At 42.5% G+C, this 20,702-nt stretch overlaps 1 protein-coding gene across 17 annotated transcripts in view; it reads right to left on the bottom strand.

The window, feature by feature from the left end:
- DOCK8 (dedicator of cytokinesis 8) overlaps positions 1-20,702 on the bottom strand; it is a 253,999-nt gene that overhangs the window by 54,245 nt on the left and 179,052 nt on the right. For all 17 annotated transcript variants that reach the window (XM_017015173.2, XM_047423927.1, XM_011518045.4 and 14 more), the window contains 5 exons: positions 20,445-20,540; positions 14,077-14,226; positions 11,752-11,865; positions 5,938-6,093; positions 3,942-4,081 (listed from right to left, as the gene is read on the bottom strand). In XM_017015173.2, the coding sequence (XP_016870662.1) occupies positions 3,942-4,081; positions 5,938-6,093; positions 11,752-11,865; positions 14,077-14,226; positions 20,445-20,540 (656 nt within the window). The remainder of the gene's footprint in view (positions 1-3,941; positions 4,082-5,937; positions 6,094-11,751; positions 11,866-14,076; positions 14,227-20,444; positions 20,541-20,702) is intronic.

Here is a 20,702-nt window from a genome sequence, read left to right as displayed (position 1 = left end):
TACTTTGTACCTTTTAAGGAATTTATCCATTTAATCTAGGTTATCAATTTGATGGCTTTCAATTGTTCATCGTATTCTTTTATAATCCTTTTTATTTCTGTAAGGTCTCTTGTGATATGATTGTGTTGAATCTTTCAATTATGATTTTAGTAATTGAGTCTTCTTCCTTTTTTCTTGGTCAGCTCAGCTAAAGATTGGTGAATTTTGTTGCTCTTTTCAAATAACAAGCTTTTCATCTTGCGGATTTCCGTGATTGTTTTTCTATTCTTTATTTCATTTATTTTGGCTATCACCTTTGTTATTCCCTGCCATCTTCCTGCTTTGACTTGTTTGCTCTTCTTTTCCTAGCTCAGAGTATATTCTTTTGACATTTTGTTAAGACCATGTACACATATTTATTAAACTATTCAAGAGCAGTATATTAAAATAAAAAATAGGCTGTATTTATAGCCCCAAAGAAATGAGTTCTAACGTCCACCCAAAACCATGCACAGGCATGTTCACGGCAGCTGTTTTCATAATACCCAATACCCACAAATAGAAAGCAGCCCAAATGTCAATTTACAGAAGAGAAATTATAGTAGACAAAGGAATATGACATACAGTTGAAAAAAAATGAATACTGACACATGCGACCACACTAAAGGATGTCACAGTCACAACATTCAGCAAAAGACTATGAAATTCAACAACAGGCAGTATTAATTTCTAATAATAAGAGTCAGAATAGTGGTTACTTGAGGGGGGCCTGTAACTGAGAGAGGATAATGGAATATTATATTTTTTATCTGACTGGTGGTTACTCAAATATATTCACAGGAAATATTAATCGCACTTTACACTTAGGATTCAGGTTCTTTATATAAATTATACTATAATAAAAAGTAAATAAAATATATAGTGGAGTATCTGGAACCTAGTCATAGATGTTCAATTTTAAAAATATACATCTTGCCGCAATAAACATATGTGTGCATATGTCTTTATAGCAGCATGATTTATAATCCTTTTATTGCGGCACTATTCACAATAGCAAAGACTTGGAACCAACCCAAATGTCCATCAATGGTAGACTGGATTAAGAAAATGTGGCACATATACACCATGGAATACTATGCAGCCATAAAAAAGGATGAGTTCATGTCCTTTGTAGGGACATGGATGAAGCTGAAAACCGTCATTCTCAGCAAACTATCGCAAGGACAGAAAACCAAACACCGCATGTTCTCACTCATAGGTGGGAACATCACACACCGGGGACTGTCATGGGGTGGGGGGAGTGGGGAGGGACAGCATTAGGAGATATACCTAATGTAAATGACGAGTTAATGGGTGCAGCACACCAACATGGCGCATATATACATATGTAACAAACCTGCATGTTGTATACATGTACCCTAGAACTTAAAGTATGATAATAATAAAAAAAGAATCCAGATTTAAAAAATATATACATATATATACATTTTTTTCTTTCAAACAAAATAAGGCTACATCAGAATTCAACGTTATATAGAAAATATTAACCAAAATTTTAAATGACTCAGACTCTTGCACTGTGGCTAAAGTAAGATAATTGTAAATTGCATTTCAAAAGTTTTTCTTGTTCTTAGTCTGTGGTCCCGGCAATGGGTTGTGTTTTGAATTAGGCATTGCAATTTGCTGGCTTAACACAAAGATGATAGACAATTTCTAAATGCTTGAAAAACACTGTGGATTTAACGATGCATAGACACTTGTGGATATACCCAGGTGTCAGAGATCCAAGGGAAACCCAGTGGAAACTGGAGCTGTAGCTCCCTAGGGGTTCAGGTACTGAGATGCGTCCTTCTGGCCCTTGCCCCATGGATGTACAGGTGTTGGCAAGTCTACCAACTGTCTTGGAAGCAAAAGAAAAAAAAAAAGGAAGTGCTGATCAATAGGAAGTATTGTTGAAGCATGACATTTTTCTGAGGTTTTAGCTTACATGATGAAGTTGTGACAGTGTATCTAATGACTTTCCAGGAGAGTAACTGACAACCCAGCAATCAGGGATTACTGTGTTGCCAAAGGAGTTACACTGTTAATTACTCTTTTGGGGGAGAAAGGGTACTGTGTGTGTGCATGTGCACGCGCGTGTGTGCGTGTGTGTGTGTGTGTGTGTGTGTGTTTGAAGAATGTATCTACCTGATTAAACATAATTACATGATTATCTCTGAATATACTCTACCTTGTTGCTAGTAATATAACAGCAACAATTTTACAAGGAATCCAGAACAGAATGTCATGGCTGTTTCCAGCTAGAATGAAAATAGAAAATAGAAACTACGCTATTGTAAATACTAAAGATGTTTCTAGAAATCACTTAAAGTACTGCTATTAAAGGACAACTAAGAAAATGTATGTACATGTTTGTGCATGAAGGCAATTTTCTTTGTGTTCAAACTTTCTTCTCAGTATCTTACTTATTAGCATAAGTGTTCGGTGCACTTTTTGTTGCTGTGGAAATTTATGTTAGTTGTAGGGTAGAACATTCTACTGAGATAATTGGGAGAAATTTAGTTAGAGTTGAGAAGAGAAGATAGAATTGAAGCCATGGAAAGTGAAGTTCTCAAAGGATATACTCAGGCCAGTTTATCTGGAAGGAGGCAGAATTGAGAGCTAAAAGCATGAGATTCCCCACACTATCCTGCCAGGAGACGCAGACATAGAGTCACTTCAGCGGTGTCAGCCTGGGTACATAGCTTGGGACACATGTGACTGTTGCAGTTGCACGAACTCGATGTGCTCCTGTATTTGTTTCATGCAGGAACCTCCTGTTTCCTTCACTAAATTGTAAGCACTTTGAGAGAACTTGAGAAATTCCATTTAGATAAAAATCCATCCATAACATACAGCAATGCTACCATTAATTAGCAAACATTATTCTGGAAACCTCTTTAGCATAGGAGTCATGGGAACAGGTTCCCTGTGCAGGGAGATGGTTTGGTATAGGAGAGTGGGTCCTGGGAAGGGACTGGGAAGACCATGGCTTTAGATTTCGTTCTCTGTTATGGAATAGTGGGCAAGTTCCTGCAATTCTGTATGCCTAATCTAAACACCAGAAGTGTTGAATCTCAACTACTTTGCAATCCTAATCATCTTTGAATCTGAGTCCCTGGATGGTGAGCTCTTGAGGGGCAGCGAATTTTGTCTGTTTTGTGCACTGATATATCTCTGATGTACTCTAACACCTAACTGTGTCTGTCCCATGGAAGGCATTCAATAATTGTTGAACGGAATGAATAATATTTTAGAAGGCATTATCTTTTTCAGTCCAATCAGATAGGCTGTGGGTTTCTGACTCCATGAGCTCACGGAGCATAGGGAGAGAAGGAAAGAAGGGGGTGGTCTACCTCTCTGTCTGTTGACTTCTAGGCTAGATACTGCCACATGTCCCTGAGTAATCAGATAGATAAGAGGTAAAAGGATTCAGAAGCCCTGGATGTGTGGTGTCTCTTGGCCTGAGAAGCACTGTCTGCAAGAAACCTAATCTGGGCATGGGACAGCTGCCTTCTCAGCAGCCATTATTTCCTTCATCAGCTTTGAACCAAGTGACATCTTGTGGTTGCCTCTGCATGCTATCCCCTTTGTTAAAAATGGCTTTGCTCCTAGGGAGTTCACTAATCAAAGCATCCTTGGGAAACCTGCTATAGCAGAACTGGTAAATTCCACTGAAATAGTTGACCAAGAAAAGTCATTTTGTAGTTCTTACCCATCCCTGGTGCCTTTCTACACAAGAAAGGCCTTTCTTGTGCCTTGTGCTTATGGGTACCATATTCTCAAGACAGATGTTTCTACTCCTCAGAACTGGTCAACTACAGTAGAGTTTTTTACCAAGTGTGAGAAGCTAGACTGCAAATTTTATTAAAGAACATCTGTTTTTTTGGCTTCATCTTCCATTTTAAATGCCAGAAACATACCCTTCCCCTTCGGCATCCAGGGCAGCAGCCAGTTCTGTGAAGAGGAGCCCGGTGAGGAAGTGCTGCTGGCGGTACTCGGAAGTCAGATCGAACATGCTGGCGATCTTCTGGTCCTGGAAGCTGGAGCAGGAGCTTGAGTTCTACAGAAACGTAAGGAGCCATTTTATGAGCCACAAGAACTGGAATGAAAATAGCGATGGCCAGTGTTTACTGAGTCCTCGCCCCAGCCAGGCTTCGTGAGCCCTCCCCAGTGAGGTAGGTACTCTGGTGCCAGATAAGGCGGACAAGGAAACTGAGGCACAGAGTGGTTACTGCACTTTCCCATACCCACAGAGAGAAGACTGCCCAGCGGGAAAGATGAAAATAAAGCACCCCGGGTCTGTTGAAAAATGAATGACGCTCCCTTTCCCACCTGAAATCAAAAGCTGAAGATAAAAATCCTAGCATAAAAGTTGGACAGAGAAATAAGAACCTCACCCAGTCCTGGGGCTGGGAACAGGCAATTCCTCTGTAACCAAATGCCCCCTTTGTTTAAGGCCCTGCTTACTCAGGTACCTTCTTTTTTTTTTTTTTTTTTTTTTGAAAGACAGAGTGTCACTCTGTTACCCAGGCTGGATTGCAGTGGCATGGTCTCAGCTCACTGCAACCTCCCTCTCCCGGGTTCAAGCAATTCTCATGCCTCAGCGTCCCAAGTAGCTGGGATTACAGTCACACTACCACACCTGATGCATTTTTGTATTTTTAGTAGATATGAGTTTTCATCATGTTGGTCAGGCTGGTAACTCCTGCCTCAAGTATTCCACTCCCTTTGGCCTCCGAAGATGCTGGGATTACAAATGTGAGCCACCGTGCCCGGCCTCAGCTACACTTCTGAATTTGGCTTAAGCACATTGTCAGACTTTTGCTGGCCTGGAACTACAAGTGATGTCAGGGAGGGAAGTATTAGATTTACCGGTCCTCAGTAATTCCTGTCCTGTATTTGTATCCTGGGAGCACACTTTATATTTCATTAAGAGCATCTAAAGTGTCTTTAGAAATCCTTCATGGTTTTGTGAGCCTGGCCCCTGGGTTTGGCCACTCCCTGGGGCAGTCAGAAGGGGAAGGTGGGAAAGAACCTAGGGTAAGCTTAGTCCAGGGAAGTTTTAGGACTTAAGCTGCTGGGCAGGATGGAGCAAAAAGTTTATACATTTTGAATTGCTGCTTGTGAGTCAGATCTTTCCCTGTTCACAGTAAGATGGTCATGTAGCTAATATCTGGATCATGCCATATGGCATATATGGCTAAGATTTTTTTTTCAATTAGTAAGACAAGCCTTCACTTTTGTACTAGTATCAAGGAATATGCAACAGAAATATAACCTAATAATGAGAAATTTTGCCTGATGCTCTGAGCTACTGATGTGTTCCCTATAAATGGAATGTGACTATCAAACAGCATGTTCTTAAAGTTATTCCAGAGTAACATTTCAAAAAATGTATGAGGTGGGGTGGGGTTTCCATGTTAAATCATTTGGGGAATCACTGCTTATCATGCACACCTCCTCCCATTTCCTCTTCTGCTTCTCGTGCATTTGCAATTGACATGAACAAGTTAAAACCTCTTAGAGGGCCTGCTGCAAAGAAACCTGGTGAATACATGGTTTCCAAAACTTATTTACTTTGGAATCCTCTATTTGCATAATATAACAATTGGCTAATGTCAGACAAAGGAAGATTTGAGACTTTTCTATGAGTTTCTAAATTTCATAGGGCTTATTGGATTCTTGGCTTTACTTAACCTGATCAGGGAGCCTTGAGCCTGGGGAGAAACCAATTACTTAGATTGTTAATTCTTAGCTAGTGGTGTAACTTCAGGGTAGCATACTTGATCTGGTTTGAATTGTTTGATTTTTTGTCAAATTAATAAGACTAACCTTTATAGGAAATACATGATTAAACTGAGCTAGTTAAATGAAATAGCTTGAATAATTCTTTTAGTTAAATAATTCTTTTATTACCTGGGAAGATATGGAAGGACAAGGAGATGTTGGAGCAGTATCAGCATTCATAAAAAAAAGGTTCAGATTGAGGTAATGCTCATGGCTACAGAGGATTCTCAGGAACTCTAGCCTCATGGAAATGAGCGTTGGAAGGTTACTGAGCTTGGCTGACAGCTGGGAAGAAAAATGAAAAGAGGAATGAAACATTTATTACAAGGTAAGTGGAGTTGAGGTTGGCAGACACAAAAATATCCTTTCTCTCCAGGTTAAGGCAATCAATTTAATAAAAACTAATGGGATAGTGCAACAGATGGTAAATTCTGCATTACAGAGAGGTCTAATAAATTTTCATTCATTACTGTTCCCCTTAGTGATTCTAGCCTAGTAGCTGTCCAGAATGAGGATTCTTATCCCGATTTCCACTTTATCAAATCTTTAATACCATGGGAAGCCTGTGCTGAAAATCTTGAGGTACATCTTCACCGTAACATAATTAATTTTACAAAAACTCTACTATGTTCGAGAAACTAAATGAAAGGAGTTGACCTCATATGAGCCTGTATGAAACTAATAGAATATGACTAGATGACTTTTATACTACAAGTGTTCTCTCGTAGTTTCTAATTAAAGGCCCCATTGGAAAGTTGTAGAACCAGTTCCCTAGAGAAAGGCATCAAACTGTTTAGCAAAGTACATAGTACCTGCAAAAAACTCAAGGAGCTTGTCCCAGACTGAGAGAGGAGGAAATGGAGAAGAAAGAGAAAGAAAGCTAGAAGAGTTTTTAGGAAAAATCTTCCTTTAAAAAATAAACCATGAAGCAAGCAATGAAAAGCAGAAAAAGGTGACTGTCTGGAAGAGACCCCTTGCTTCCCCCAGGCAAGCTGAACAACTGAAAGACCCAGACTCAGAGGCAGCTCCTCTAAAGGCAAAATAGGGGAAGGAAGGGGCGCTGATGCACCTTGAGCTCCTCAATATTTCATCATTATCACCCCCCACCCCAGCACAGAAATATGAAGCATCATCCTTGTGATAGACATGCCTCCTCTTCACTCACTTCAAGAGTAGTTTGTTTTTTAAACTATATATATATATATATACACATATATATATATACACATATATATATATATACATATATATATATACACATATATATATACACATATATATATATGTATATATATATATATATATATATAGAGAGAGAGAGAGAGAGAGAGAGAGAGAGAGAGATACAGAGTCTTGCTCTGTTGAACTGGAGTGCAGTGGCATGATCTCGGCTCACTGCAACCTTCATCTCCCAGGTTCAAGCGATTCTCTTGCCTCAGCCTCCCGAGTAGCTGGGATTACAGGTGCACATCAACATGCCCAGCTAATTTTTTGTATTTTTAGTAGAGATGGGGTTTAACCATATTGGCCAAGCTGGTCTCGAACTCCTGGCCTCAGGTGATCCTCCCGCCTTGGCCTCCCAAAGTGCTGGGATTACAGACTAAACAATATAATTTAAATGAACACATATTTTCAGCCATTTTACAAGAAGCCAATGTGTTGTGGGACATATTGCCTACAGAATTAATTCATAGTTAGACATCCACTTAAAATAAGTAAATGCCATTATATATTATTTTAAAACCAAAACATATGACTTCTATGTAAGCACAGTTACCAGATCCCATAACCTTTCGATGTGCACTCCTGGCTGACTTTGGACCAGTGGAGCCACCAGCACATTGAAGGGATTAGAACTTGGTCATGTGCCTGTCACTTAGGTTACTCATTAACAGGTGTCGGGTCAAGCCGGCTATCGGAACTTGAACCCACAACACATTGGCACTTAAAAGAAGGCCCCACTATGGGTATCTTTCATAGGTCCCTTGAGACATCATTCAAGACAGACATTTCAGGCTGGGTGTGGTGGCTCACACCTGTAATCCCAGCACTTCGGGAGGCAGAGGCAGGCAGATCACTTGAGGCCAGAGTTCAAGACCAGTCTGGCCAACATGGTGAAACCCTGTCTCTACTAAAAATGCAAAAATTAGCGGGGAGTGGTGCCACACACCTGTAATCCCAGCTACTCGGGAGGGTGAGGAAGGAGAATCGCTTGAACCTGTGAGGCGGAGTTTGCAGTGAGCCAAAATTGTGCCACTGCACTCTGGCCTGGGCAACAGAGTAAGACTCCATCTCAAAAGAAAAAAAATAGACATTTCAAAAACAATTTGAGTGATGTTTTGAAAAGAGGAGTAAGGTGCATTCCAAAAACTTCCTTCCCAAAGGTCAAGACCCACAATGCCCCTACCCAAGGGATGGGTGTTTGCTTAGTGGCACATTGTAAGTGACAGACAGTAATTGAGGAAATGGATTTGTCTATTTTTAGTGACTATTAAAAAAGACTAAGGTTATATCCATTGCCACAAAATCTTTAGATGGCAGAAAACATAATAGGTTATGCAAAATGATAAAGTCAGACGACTTTGTAAGAATACAACTTGCTTAAGGTATGAAGTTCATCCTGTATCTAGAGAGCTGGGATCAATGAATTAAATCACCACGAATGGGGGTCAGTGACCTTCTGAGGCCTGAGTGCCACTAATGGTGCTAAGTAACATCCGTGGATGTCACTGGCAGACACAGACCACAGAATCAGTGGATAAATCTAATCCAGCCTAGTTTTTTTGCAGATGAGGAAATGAATGCCTCAAAGGCTGATGCTCCCAATCACAGAAGTAATTAATGGTGTCCCAGGAATCAGCATGCAGGCTTCTTGACTCCTGGTCTAGGGATCTTTGGCATTTGAGTCAAGGAGAGAAACAAAAAAAGAAATGGTAACTAAAAGAAAAGGGAAGAATTTAAGGAGAAAGATAGTGAGCAAGAGAAAAGAAAGGAAAGAGAAAGAGAAAATAAAAACATGAGTTTTGCAGGGAAGGCAGATATCTACCTTGGGTTGCCTTATTTCCCTGTCGGGAATGAAGATAGCCTGCATGTGAGTAGCTAAGCCTGGGTCTGCAGTGGTGATCTAGGGTATCTTTCATACACTCAACTTAAAGTTTTGAAAACAGACTAACCTGGAATCCTAAATACTGAAGAGGGAGGGCAAGGAGGAGTGAAGTGTCCCTCTGCCATTCTATTCTGGTGGGTCCTGGGACAGAAGATCCGCTGCAGGGCAGGGGTCAGGGTGCATGGGATGGGGATGCTTGGGGACTTCTGATGTTTCCTTAGGATTCTTTTTTATTATTCTGCTTCCTTATCAGGACTTCCCTTAGATGAGACTGCGTGCGTTCAGGGTGGTATGGCTGTAGACAGGACTTCCTTTAGAAAAGTCATGTCTTTTTCTTTTTTTGGAGGAGAGGTGTTATGTAAACAAGTCAAAGATTGTTTCTGTGTATTGGCCCCTCGGTTGTTTATTTCTTCACTGTCGACTGGTGCTGATCCCTTGGCTCATACCTAACTCAAATTTTACCATGCCCAGTCATTAACAAAAATAGCTCATATAAGCAGATTTTCATCCATTTAGTGCCTGCCTCCTTTGCAGACCCCATAAAATCTCGATGGACAGCTGTTTCCTAATGATAAGATAGAGCCTTGCAGATACAGGGCCCTAAGCTGCTACAGCCCTTGGAGCTCTCTGACCCAGAGACTCCCTACTGTGCTGTGGAGCAGCCTCACCCAGATCTATAAGCTTCTGCCCTAATCCTCCTCTCCCCTGGGAGTTCCCCTGCTCCTCTGGATGGTCCCCTCCTCACTGCAGGCCTATGGCTGTTCTCATGCTGGGAGGGGCTTCCGCTCTTATGTAACCCTGTCCAAGTGCTGCTCAATGAAGCTTGTATGTCACTGCTTTTTATGGTCCTATCCTTTTCGTTGATCAGCCCTCAAATCTCTCAACCCCCCCTTCTTATTTTAAAACTGAGGAAATTAAGACCCATAAAATTGGAAAAACTTATCTAAAGTCACTAAGTGACTAACCACAGAGAACGTGGTGGTGATGGGAGAGGTGGTGATGGTGGTGGAGGTGGTGGTGGTGATGATGGTGACAATGATGATGGTGGAAGAAGTGATGGTGGAGGTGAAGGAGGTGGTCATGGTGGAGCTAATGGTGGTGGTGGTGGAGGAGGTGGTGATGGTGGAGGAGGTGGTGGTGGTGGTGGTGATGGTGGTGGTGGATGTTGTGGTGATGGTGAAGGAGCTGTTGGTAGTGGGGGAGGTGGTGGTGGTGGAGGTGGTGGTGATGGTGGAGGAGGTGGTGATGGTGGAGGTGGTGGTGATGGTGATGGTGGAGGTGGTGGTGATGGTGGAGGTGGTGGTGATGGTGGAGGTGGTGGTGGTGGTGGAGGTGGTGGTGATGGTGAAGATGCTGGTGGTGGTGGAGGTGGTGGTGGTGATGGTGGAGGTGGTGGTGGTGGTGGAGGTGGTGGTGATGGTGAAGATGCTGGTGGTGGTGGAGGTGGTGGTGATGGTGGAGGTGGTGGTGATGGTGGTGGAGGTGGTGGTGGTGATGGTGGAGGTGGTGGTGATGGTGGAGGTGGTGGTGGTGATGGTGAAGATGCTGGTGGTGGTGGAGGTGGTGGTGATGGTGGAGGTGGTGGTGGTGATGGTGGAGGTGGTGGTGATGGTGAAGGAGGTGGGTGGTGGTGATGGTGAAGATGCTGGTGGTGGTGGAGGTGGTGGTGATGGTGGAGGTGGTGGTGGTGATGGTGGAGGTGGTGGTGATGGTGATGGTGAAGGAGGTGGTGATGGTGGAGGAGGTGGTGGTGGTGGAGGAGGTGGTGGTGGTGGAGGTGGTGGTGACGGTGAAGATGGTGGTGGTGGTGAAGGAAGTGGTGGTGATGGTGGAGGTGGTGGTGATGGTGGAGGTGGTGGTGATGGTGGAGGTGGTGGTGATAGTGGAGGTGGTGGTGATGGTGATGGTGAAGGAGGTGGTGATGGTGGAGGTGGTGGTGGTGGTGATGGTGGAGGTGGTGGTGATGGTGAAGATGCTGGTGGTGGTGGAGGTGGTGGTGGTGATGGTGGAGGTGGTGGTGATGGTGATGGTGAAGGAGGTGGTGATGGTGGAGGTGGTGGTGGTGATGGTGGAGGTGGTGGTGATGGTGGAGGTGGTGGAGGTGGTGGGAGGTGGTGATGGTGGAGAAGGTGGTGATAGTGGGCATGGGACTAATGAGAATGGTGGTGGCTGGTGGTAGTAGTAGCAGTAATGATGGTACTAGTGGCTAGATTAGGGATATGGAAGGAGAGGAGCAGCAACAATAACTGCTATTTATATTACTATTGTTAAGGTAGTTTGAGGGAGACAGCACATGAATAATTCCATTTAAAAATCTGGGGGGATGGCACTGATAGATGCACTTGGTTTATGAAATATTTGCTATGTGCTCAGTGAAATTAAATCTCTTTGAATGATTTTATTTAAGAACACTTTAAAAAGGTTCTTTCAAGTCGGAGCATCACAACAGCAATTTAATTAATTACCCTAATATGTGAAAAGAGACCTCAGACTGGGAGCGCAAGGACTTGTCAAAGACTGAAAGCACTGTATAGCCATGTTAATTTTCTGTTGAATGTCAAATTGAAGATTCAGATCATATCACAAATTTTAATTCCCACAGATGAATCTGTTGACCCTTCTACACTGTCGGTAAATGCTCCAGGAATCAAGGTAAACCAGCATGTCTGAGGAATGTCCATGGCACAGACATGAGGGACGTGCTGCAAAACACAGGATGTGTAGGATTCATGCCAACTCAGTAATGAAGAAGACAGCGTGCCATGGCAACGAACATCACATTATATGAGAAGGAACCAAGTGGCTCGCTCGGGGGTGGGGGTGGGGGGGACACTCACCTGGCTGCAATAATGTCTGATGAGGTTAAACACAAAGCCCCGATCCATGAGGGAGAGAAGGTCATACAAGAAGAAAGCCAGGCTGATGTTCATCTTTTCCGCCTGTTCATTTTCCTTAAAAACAAACAAACACCCAAATCATTTTGTGGGACACTCTGGATTTGAACTTCCAGGTCACTGGTGGGAACATTGGGAGAGACAGGTCCTATTATTTCAGCCACTGTCCTTCTGGGTGGCACTGGGCGAAGTAGTTGAGTCTCCTTTAACTAAAGCCATGACTGTGAGGTTGAATCAAGTAATTATTCGTGCACTGTTAATATTTAGGTGCATTTCCTTCCAGTCACTTTTTTTTCTACATGCATATTTATATGTGTATAATTAACCTCATTCTCTATATACTATGTTGGATCCTACTTTTTTTTATATCCTGGTAACTTTTTTTTTTGTAACTATTTTCTTTTTTTTTGGCAAACTGACTTGAAAAATACTTACTGTTTTCAATGAGACAGTTTCTTAATTTTTAAGGATTATTACAGAAAATCCAATCAGGATAAAAGAATTAGTTTTTACCTAAGAAATTTATTCCTCAATTAGGCAGCATTTCCAGCCTAAGAGAGGTCAGAGTCATACTCCGCAGGGTGTATTCACTCCGTAGGGTAAATTCCTCCATGAATCCCAATTAATAAGCTACGCCTATTTTTAAAATTTTTAATTTGTATTATTTCTCAGTGCTCCTGTTTATGAGGGATTTTACAGTGCTTCAGAGCAATCTGGGATTCAGTTTTTCATGTTTATGTCCTTTATTCTCAGAATGACAAATCAATTTCCTTTGACACTATTAAAAATATGGTTTGAAACTATTTTGCTTTTGTTAACATGCAATTTGCAAATTCAGGCCATGCTGACCAGTCAAGTCACTGGGATGGATGGGGACCTGATAAAGAGGTTGCTACCGTGCCGCTGAGAGGTCCTCGAACTCTCTCCGCATTCTCCACATGGCCACTCCTCCTGGGTGCCTTACGTGACTCAGTATCTGGGTCTAAAATCTCCAGTCTTGGCTTTACTGCTGGCTGTGTGTGACTTTTGGAAAATTTATCAACCTCACTGTGCCTTATTCTCACACCTGCCAATGTGGAGATACCATGCTGTTCCAACAAAGTTTGCCATGAGGAATAACCGAATGAAAATCTCCTGAGCACTTGGTACTATGCACATTCTCAATAACGACAAAGCGATTAATAATAAACATTGCTTCCTAAGATTTTTGTAGCTGCCTTTTAAACATTTGATTTATTCCATTTTATATATGTTTTAGCTTTTATTCTGAAACAATTTTAAACTTACAGAAAAGGTGCAAGAATAGTACAAAGAACTACTGTATACCCTTTAACGAAGCTTATCAATACTTGACATTTTGCTACATTTGTTTTATCATTCTATGAACATAAAAACATTTTTTTCTGAACCATTTGAGAATGGGTTGCAAATATCATGCCCATTTACCCCATAACACTTCAAGGTGTATTTCCTAAGAGCAAAAATATTATCTTTCATATCTACATTTTTCTTTTAGATGGAGTCTCACTCTGTCACCCAGGCTGGAGTGCTGTGGTACCATCTCGGCTCACTGCAACCTCCGCCTCCTGGGCTCAAGCGATTCTTCCACCTCAGCCTCCCGAGAAGCTGGGATTACAGGTACGTGCCACTACACCCGGCTAATTTTCCATATTTTTAGTAGAGACGGGGTTTCAACATGTTGGCCAGGCTGGTCTCGAATGCCTGACCTCAAGTGATCTGACCACCCTTGCCTCCCAAAGTGCTGGGATTACAGGTGTGAGCCACTGCACCCAGCCTGATATGATCATTTAAACCACAGTCCATATTGCAATTTCTTTTTTTTTTTTTTTTTGAGACAGAGTCTCACTCTGTCACCCAGGCTGGAGTGCTGTGGCACCATCTCGGCTCACTGCAACCTCTGTCTCCCAGGTTCAAGCAGTTCTCTTGCTTCTGCCTCCCAGTTGCTGGGATTACAGATATGCACAACCATGCTCAGCTAATTTTTATATTTTTAGTAGAGACAGGGTCTCACCATGTCACCATGTTGGCCAGGCAGGTCTCGAACCCCTGGCCTCATGTGTGTAATTTGTTTATAACAATTTTCCAGCCCCACATCAGGGTCCAGTCCAGTATAACATACTGCGTTTAACTGTCATTACAGTTATATTTTAATTATTGTTTTAAAATGATGCTTATTTTTCTCTGATTATGAAAGTAATATATGTTCCAGGTAAACAATTTAGAAAATAAAGAGTAAAATACAGTTACCTTCTGTGGTTTTACTAAAAGGGCTGCAATTTCCGAGGTGACCACATTAACAATAGTAGTTATGTCATCCATGAAACGGTCAGAAAAACGAGTCCTCCGAAAACTGTCCCGTTTGTCCATGTTATGTACGTGCTGGGCCATGCTTTTCACCTGCGGAGGGGGATGGAGGAAATGTCAACATGGAGATTGGTGACCTGCTTGTACAATGCAGAAAAGGGGGAAAGACTCACAGAAATGCTCTCTAACAATGGATTTTCTGACACTTTATCTGTGCTGGTGGTGCCCGAGCAAGCTCTGGACTAAAATGCTGCAGACACACCAATGGTTACCATGGTGGCGGGAGGTGGGAAGGGTGTCCTCTTTTTGACCCCAAGTCAGAGGCTCCCTTCTTGCTGCTGACAAAGCCAGGAGCTTAATTCTTTAGCTACAGTGTTCTCAACTGCCTACATCCTGGAAGGCAGACCTGAGCTGGGCTCCTGTAACCAGCTAGGTGTCCTCTATCATAGGACAGAACACATGACTCAGAAAGGAACAGTTTATCACAAGGTTCTTGATGCGAACTAAAGTCTTTTCTGTTCCTGAAACTACAGTAAGGAGAACGTGGGAGAAATGTTCCTCCTATCTTGAGTTTCAGTGTTTCTCGAGGGAGCACAGTTTTTCCAGAAACAGTTCTATAGTTTCCAGCAGTTATCTTCTGCTCCTATAAATTTTAGCTATATTATATATTGAGCAGGAAATGTTGGCCAGCTGGAAACAGAACCACTATTTAGAACATTGCCTCCAGGGAAAACATTACCTCTAGGGGAAATTTTGAGTTCCATAAGTCTAATTTTTAGTTACATAATGCAGACAGTCACCAAATGACACAAAAATATCTATATACAGATTATCTATCTATATCTAGTATCTCTATATAGATATCTTTGTGTCAATACAAGTCACCAATTGACACAAACTGGTGTATACTGTGGTTACATATATAATGCAAACAATTCGTCAACTGACAGAAAGATATTTATATACAGATATATCTATATGGATATACATACATATACATATCGTATCTATATATAGATATCCTTGTGTCAATTGGTGACTGTCTGCATTATGACTAGAATAATACTATCTCAATGCCTACCACAATTTTAAATCAAGATCATGCTTATTTTTTGGACATCTTCTTGGGGCCAGGAGATTCACAGGTCAATATGGGCCCCCTTGTCACCATCTGAGGGTGAGTCTTATCCTTGTTGGAAGTTGCTTACACTATTAGGAACATGGGGAAGACTAGAAGGTCTTGTGGTTGGGTCCCTACACTCTGAAAACGTTTTCATGTATGCGTCTAGATTAGTCAGACAGCCACTGCAATACTACTACTACTACTACTACTACTACTACTACTAATGGCACTGGAAGTTGAACCACCCACATTTGCCCTCTGTGTTGAGACTGGAAGAAGAGGGGACTTCCACTCCCAGGAGCTACATGAGAGAACGTTAATACACTAACAGCAGAATTCAGTTTCTAAGGATGCATGCAGCACTGGCAATTTTTGTTAGCATGGAAACAAACAGAAAAAACAAAGGGAAGGCAAAATAAGAAAAAACCAGAGACACAGGCTTTATGTGTTTCATGTTTTCAGACAACGCCATGGCCAGCTCAGGGAAGACCTAAGGACATCAAACCCTAAAGCTCAGTAGAGAAACCATGGTTTCTCCTCATGGCGGCATCCTCTTTGGTTTGGGACACAGAGATGGCTTCATATCCCACAAGGCCGCATGCACCTGGTGAGAAGACCCGAATGAAGGGTGGGAACTGGACCCATTTTTGTCCGAAAAAAGCCTCTCTCTCACTATGCTCCTAACAAAGGACTTAAGAAGATAAGGCCTCTTTGTTTTGGGCAATGCCAATCCTGATTCTGGGCAGGCTAACCATCCCAGCACTAAGGCTTTCAGAACTCACTGCTGTATTTGGCTCCTGTCTGCTGAGTTTGGCCATCCTACAACCAAATACATAATTCTCACAATACCATACTTCCAACCAATGGCCTCTTTCCAGACTGTCAGCAGCTTGCCAGCTACTGTGTCCTCCAGATCTCCAGAGAAGAACATCCAGTAGAAACACTAGTGGAGGCCTGGCCCTGTTGAGTGGGGCGAGGCACAGAAATCTTTCCCCCTATATGGGCCTTTGTGGCCCATTTAAAGTAAGGGTACCTCTAAAGAACCCCTTAATGTGGAACTTCATGTCCTGAGTGAGTAAACTAGGTCACCCATTTATCTCTATTTCTCCAAGGTCTGGCTCAGCAGTTTCTAGAAGCACAGGGATTTTATTCATTAGCAAGTGTGAAAGTCGCCCAAGCATTGTGTTTAACAGCTCTAATGCCAAAGTGGTTGTTCATTAGCGCTTGGGCACTGACACAACTAGAGGGTGTTAAATTGCCCAGGTTGTTGGCTAAGGCCAAGGAAGCTGTTGTCTTTCTCAAGCTTCTTGGAAAAAAACAAAACAAAACTGTTTTGGTTTTCAAATAACTTCCTGGGCATTGGTCAGGCAAATGCATAAACAATGTATGAAGAATTGGGCACCTTGTCTGAGTCTGAGATCAATTTCCTTGCAAAGTTCTGGCTGGGGGATGATAGTTTCCATTTGCCCCTACCCCAGCTCCCTGATGGATTTCTTGTCCTTCTCTGTCTGTCTCTGAATGCTGGGAAGGGGGTCTCGAGGGACCACATCACTCAGGCCCCCTTAACCTTTGGCTTCCAGTTGGAGTTGGCCAACAGGAGCACAAACAAGGGGATCATTACGTGGGAGAACAGAGAGGCCCAGGTAGTTACTCACTTCCACTGCCCTCATCCCTGCTGCAGTGAGGTCCTGGTAGTGGCAACATTTTTCTAAGGCCCCAGGCTCCTTTTCTAAGATTGTCTCATCTGCCTCCAGATTTTTCTAGGCCCCAGTTACTCTGCTATACTCTTGATTCTTTAGAGCTAGCATAGAGAAAGGCTTCTGCCAGCTGCTGTACCCTGGGGGCTCTCACCAATCCTCATTGGCCCCTGAACCTCCCATACATGCTGAGCAGAGTCCTTTTGATCAATGCTTTTCAGTTAACCCTTTTGGGCAACGGAAACTCTGTCCTGCCAGAACCTGACAGACTTAGGTTTTAGGCTGCTGGTAGAACTGGTGTCTTGGGTGATCTGCATGTTGACAAACCCCTGCAATATGCTTAGATCAGCAGGGGCTTTCTTCCCAAAAAACTTCATCTGTTTACCATAAGGGACTTCCTAGAGGTAAGATGGGCCATGTGCTTTAGCTTATGCTTTCTCTCCTGGGCCAACGAAGCCCTAGTAAATAAATGTGCAAGGCCAAAAGCAGTTAGGGGCAGTGAAGTGGTACTGCTGAAGCATTTGGCTGACTTGGAGACTCTCTTTATGGCCACCACCCTTCCTCCAACCCCATCTGTAAATTTGGGATAATAAAAGTTCCTCCTGCCTCAAGATTGCATAATGATTACATTAGATGATGCTTTAAAATGCTTAAAACACTGCCTGGCACATATATAGTAAGATGCTCAGTAGTTTTGATGTGATTATTCTTTCTCCCATTGGTATGCCAACTATTGGTATGCCAACTATTATTGGGATTCTGTGAAGAACAGAGACATCATTACACCTGCAGAGAATGCAAACTTCCTTTGGAAAGAGAGCTCTAAGATGCCACATGGAACCACTCAGAATAAGCAATGCTGAATTCCGCATTGGGAATGAATTATTTGTATGAATTATCCATAGCTGGATTATGACTCAAGTGAATCTTCTTCTTCTTCTTCTTTTTTTTTTTTTTTTTTTTTTTTTTTTTGAGACAGGGTCTCAATCTGTTGCCCAGGCTGGAGTGCAATGGCATGATCAAGGCTCACTGCAGCCTTGAACTCCTAGGCTCCAGTGACGCTCCTGCCTCAGCCTGCTGAGTAACTGAGACTACAAGCACATGTTACCACACCCAGGTAATTTTTTCATTTTTGCAGAGCTAGGCTGAGTGAATCTTCTTTATGGAGAGACATGATGGTGGGTGGGATGTGTAAATAGAAGCAGGATATAAAGGGCATGGGGTGACGGTTTTGATACTTCTCATGCCTCAAGAAACAAGAGGGGAATGGGTCTTATGGCCCAGTCCCTTTCCTGCCAGAGCATGGAGCTCATGTCTCATTGTTAATGCTCTTGCCCCAAGACTTGTGAGCTGCAGCCACCACCTTAATTAGCTCGGCTTTTGGAATGAAAAAAAAATTCTGGTGTTGTCTGAGTACAAATTCCAAAAGACCTGTAGCTCTGTATAGGATTCACAGAACAGAGGTGGTGTAGACCAGTGGATCATTAACAGGCTTAGAAGTCACCTGAGAAGACAGGTAAATGCACAATGCTGGCCTCCAGCCTCCTAATTTTAGTGCTTTGAGAAAGAATCTCTGCTTTATTTTTACTAAGCACCTCCAGGTGGTTCTGTGGCAAGGATTTGGGACCATGCTTTGGGACCCTTCTCAAAACAGAGGTTGGGACTTTGCAAAACTTCATGGGATTTGAATCCTGGGTGTGTTTCTGTGGCATGAACCTGACTTCTTCTGAACTCTATTCCACATTGCTTCCTATTTCCTCCCCAGTGGATGGTTCATTTGTTTCCTTTGCCCTTTGTTCTCTGTGTCCTATTGTTCAGCATTTCTCCCTTTTTCTTGGGCTTCAACTTACATACAAAAACTAGAGCTTAGGTGGAACCCCTCCCATCTCTTTAGTCCCTCTCTCTTTTTTTTTTTTTTTTAGATGGAGTTTTGCTCTTTTTGCCCAGGCTGCAGTGCAATGGCGCAATCTCAGCTCACTGCTGCCTCTGCCTCCCAGGTTCAAGCAATTCTCCTGCCTCAGCCTCCTGAGTAGATGGGATTACAGGCACCCGCCACCACACCCGGCTAATTTTTGTATTTTTAGTAGGGATGGGTTTTGTCACGTTGGCCAGGCTGGTCTCGAACTCTTGACTTCAAGTGACCTGCCTGCCTCAGCCTCCCAAAGTGCTAGGATTACAAGTGTGAGCCACCACACCCAGCCTAGACTCTCTTTAAAAAAAAAAAAAAAAAAAAAAAGATTCACTTAATGGGACAGGGGAAAGAACCCAATGAATATAAAGCTAACATTATCACTAAATCTCAACCTACTCCAAATCCTCTGAACTGTTTGCATATATATTTTTATATAGTTGGTGTCTATGTCTTTAGACCTCTTTCATTCAACATCATCTCATTATGCATCTCTGTTTATCAACATTGAGAAAATGTTTATTTTTAGTGCCTCTATGGGAAAATCCTTTTGCTTCCATTAATAATTAAACAAAAAAATAGTTATCACTATTATTCCCCTTATTTTAAAATTAAGGTATTATGGCTATACCTTTTGCTTTTCTGCTCGAGTAATGGTAGAAGTTTTAGGATAAACAGATATACAAATTTCATTCTGTTTTCCAACAGATATTAATTGGGCCTTGCATGGTACCAAGCAGTGTGCTGAGGCTAGAGATGGGATAATACACAAGAGAGACCCAAATCCTGAAAATCTAACCGCTGAGACAGAAAAAACAATTAGAAATTGTGATAACCACTAGGAAAGAAATAAATAGGGTGCTCAGAAGGAGGATAATAGAGGAAGATATATTACAGTATTAGGTGGTCAGAAAAGGCCTCTTGGGGATGGTTCCACTGAAGCTGAAATCTACAGAGAAGAATAGAAACTGTGTGTGTTGGGGGTGCGGAGGTGAAAGTTAGGGAGCAGGAAGAGAATCTGGAAAAGGCTGTGAGGCCAAAATGGCCTTGGCATCTTCAAAGCACCAAAAGAGGACCATGTGGCTGAATGATGGGGGAATGTGGCGTGAGATGAGGTTAGAGAGGGAGGAAAACAACAGAATCATACAAGGGCTTTTTAGGTCATGATAAAAATTTGTGCTTTCTTCTCAGTGCAGTGAAAATCATCGATCGGTTTTTAAAAGGAGCGTGACATTCTCTGTTTAGTATTGGCTGCCATGTGCAGAATGGGTGGGCCAAGAGCAAAAATGGATACAGGCAGGAAAAAGAGGATGTCACTGCGAGAGGCACATGAGAGATGATGGTGTGTGGCCAGGTGGAGAGTGGTGAAGGTGATGAGAACTCACAGGACGGCGATAGATTTTCATGGTAGAAGCAACACAATTTAGTGGAAGAAGGATGGGAGGGGTGAGAGATTATTAGATTTCAAGAAACCACCCCAGGTTTTCAGCAGGGGCAACTCAGTGAACAAAATGTCAATTCCTTTCTGCTGTGTGCTTCTCTTGGCCTATTGAGCACAGATACAAACGCGCAAGAATCTCACCAGAAGCTCAAAGAAGAACCAGGCATACTTGAAGACTGTTTCTCTCACCATTCCGGTGCTGACCACCATCTGAAGGGCAAGCTCCTCATGGAAATGCTAAATAAGAACCACAAAAATTAGGCTGTGAAACAAAGGCTATTATTATTCACCAACACTTTTTTTCTTTTCTTTTATTCCCCCCAATTTAATAGCTTGTTCGTTCCTGAAGCATGTGTCTTAGATGTTCTAGGCAGTAAGTGGTGGATGGCAAAGTCAGTG

Source organism: Homo sapiens, chromosome 9 (genome assembly GCF_000001405.40).
Source record: "Homo sapiens chromosome 9, GRCh38.p14 Primary Assembly".
In the NCBI taxonomy this organism is placed as follows: domain Eukaryota; kingdom Metazoa; phylum Chordata; class Mammalia; order Primates; family Hominidae; genus Homo; species Homo sapiens.
Note: the sequence above shows the minus strand (reverse complement) of the source record. Positions and strands in the feature narration are given on the sequence as shown.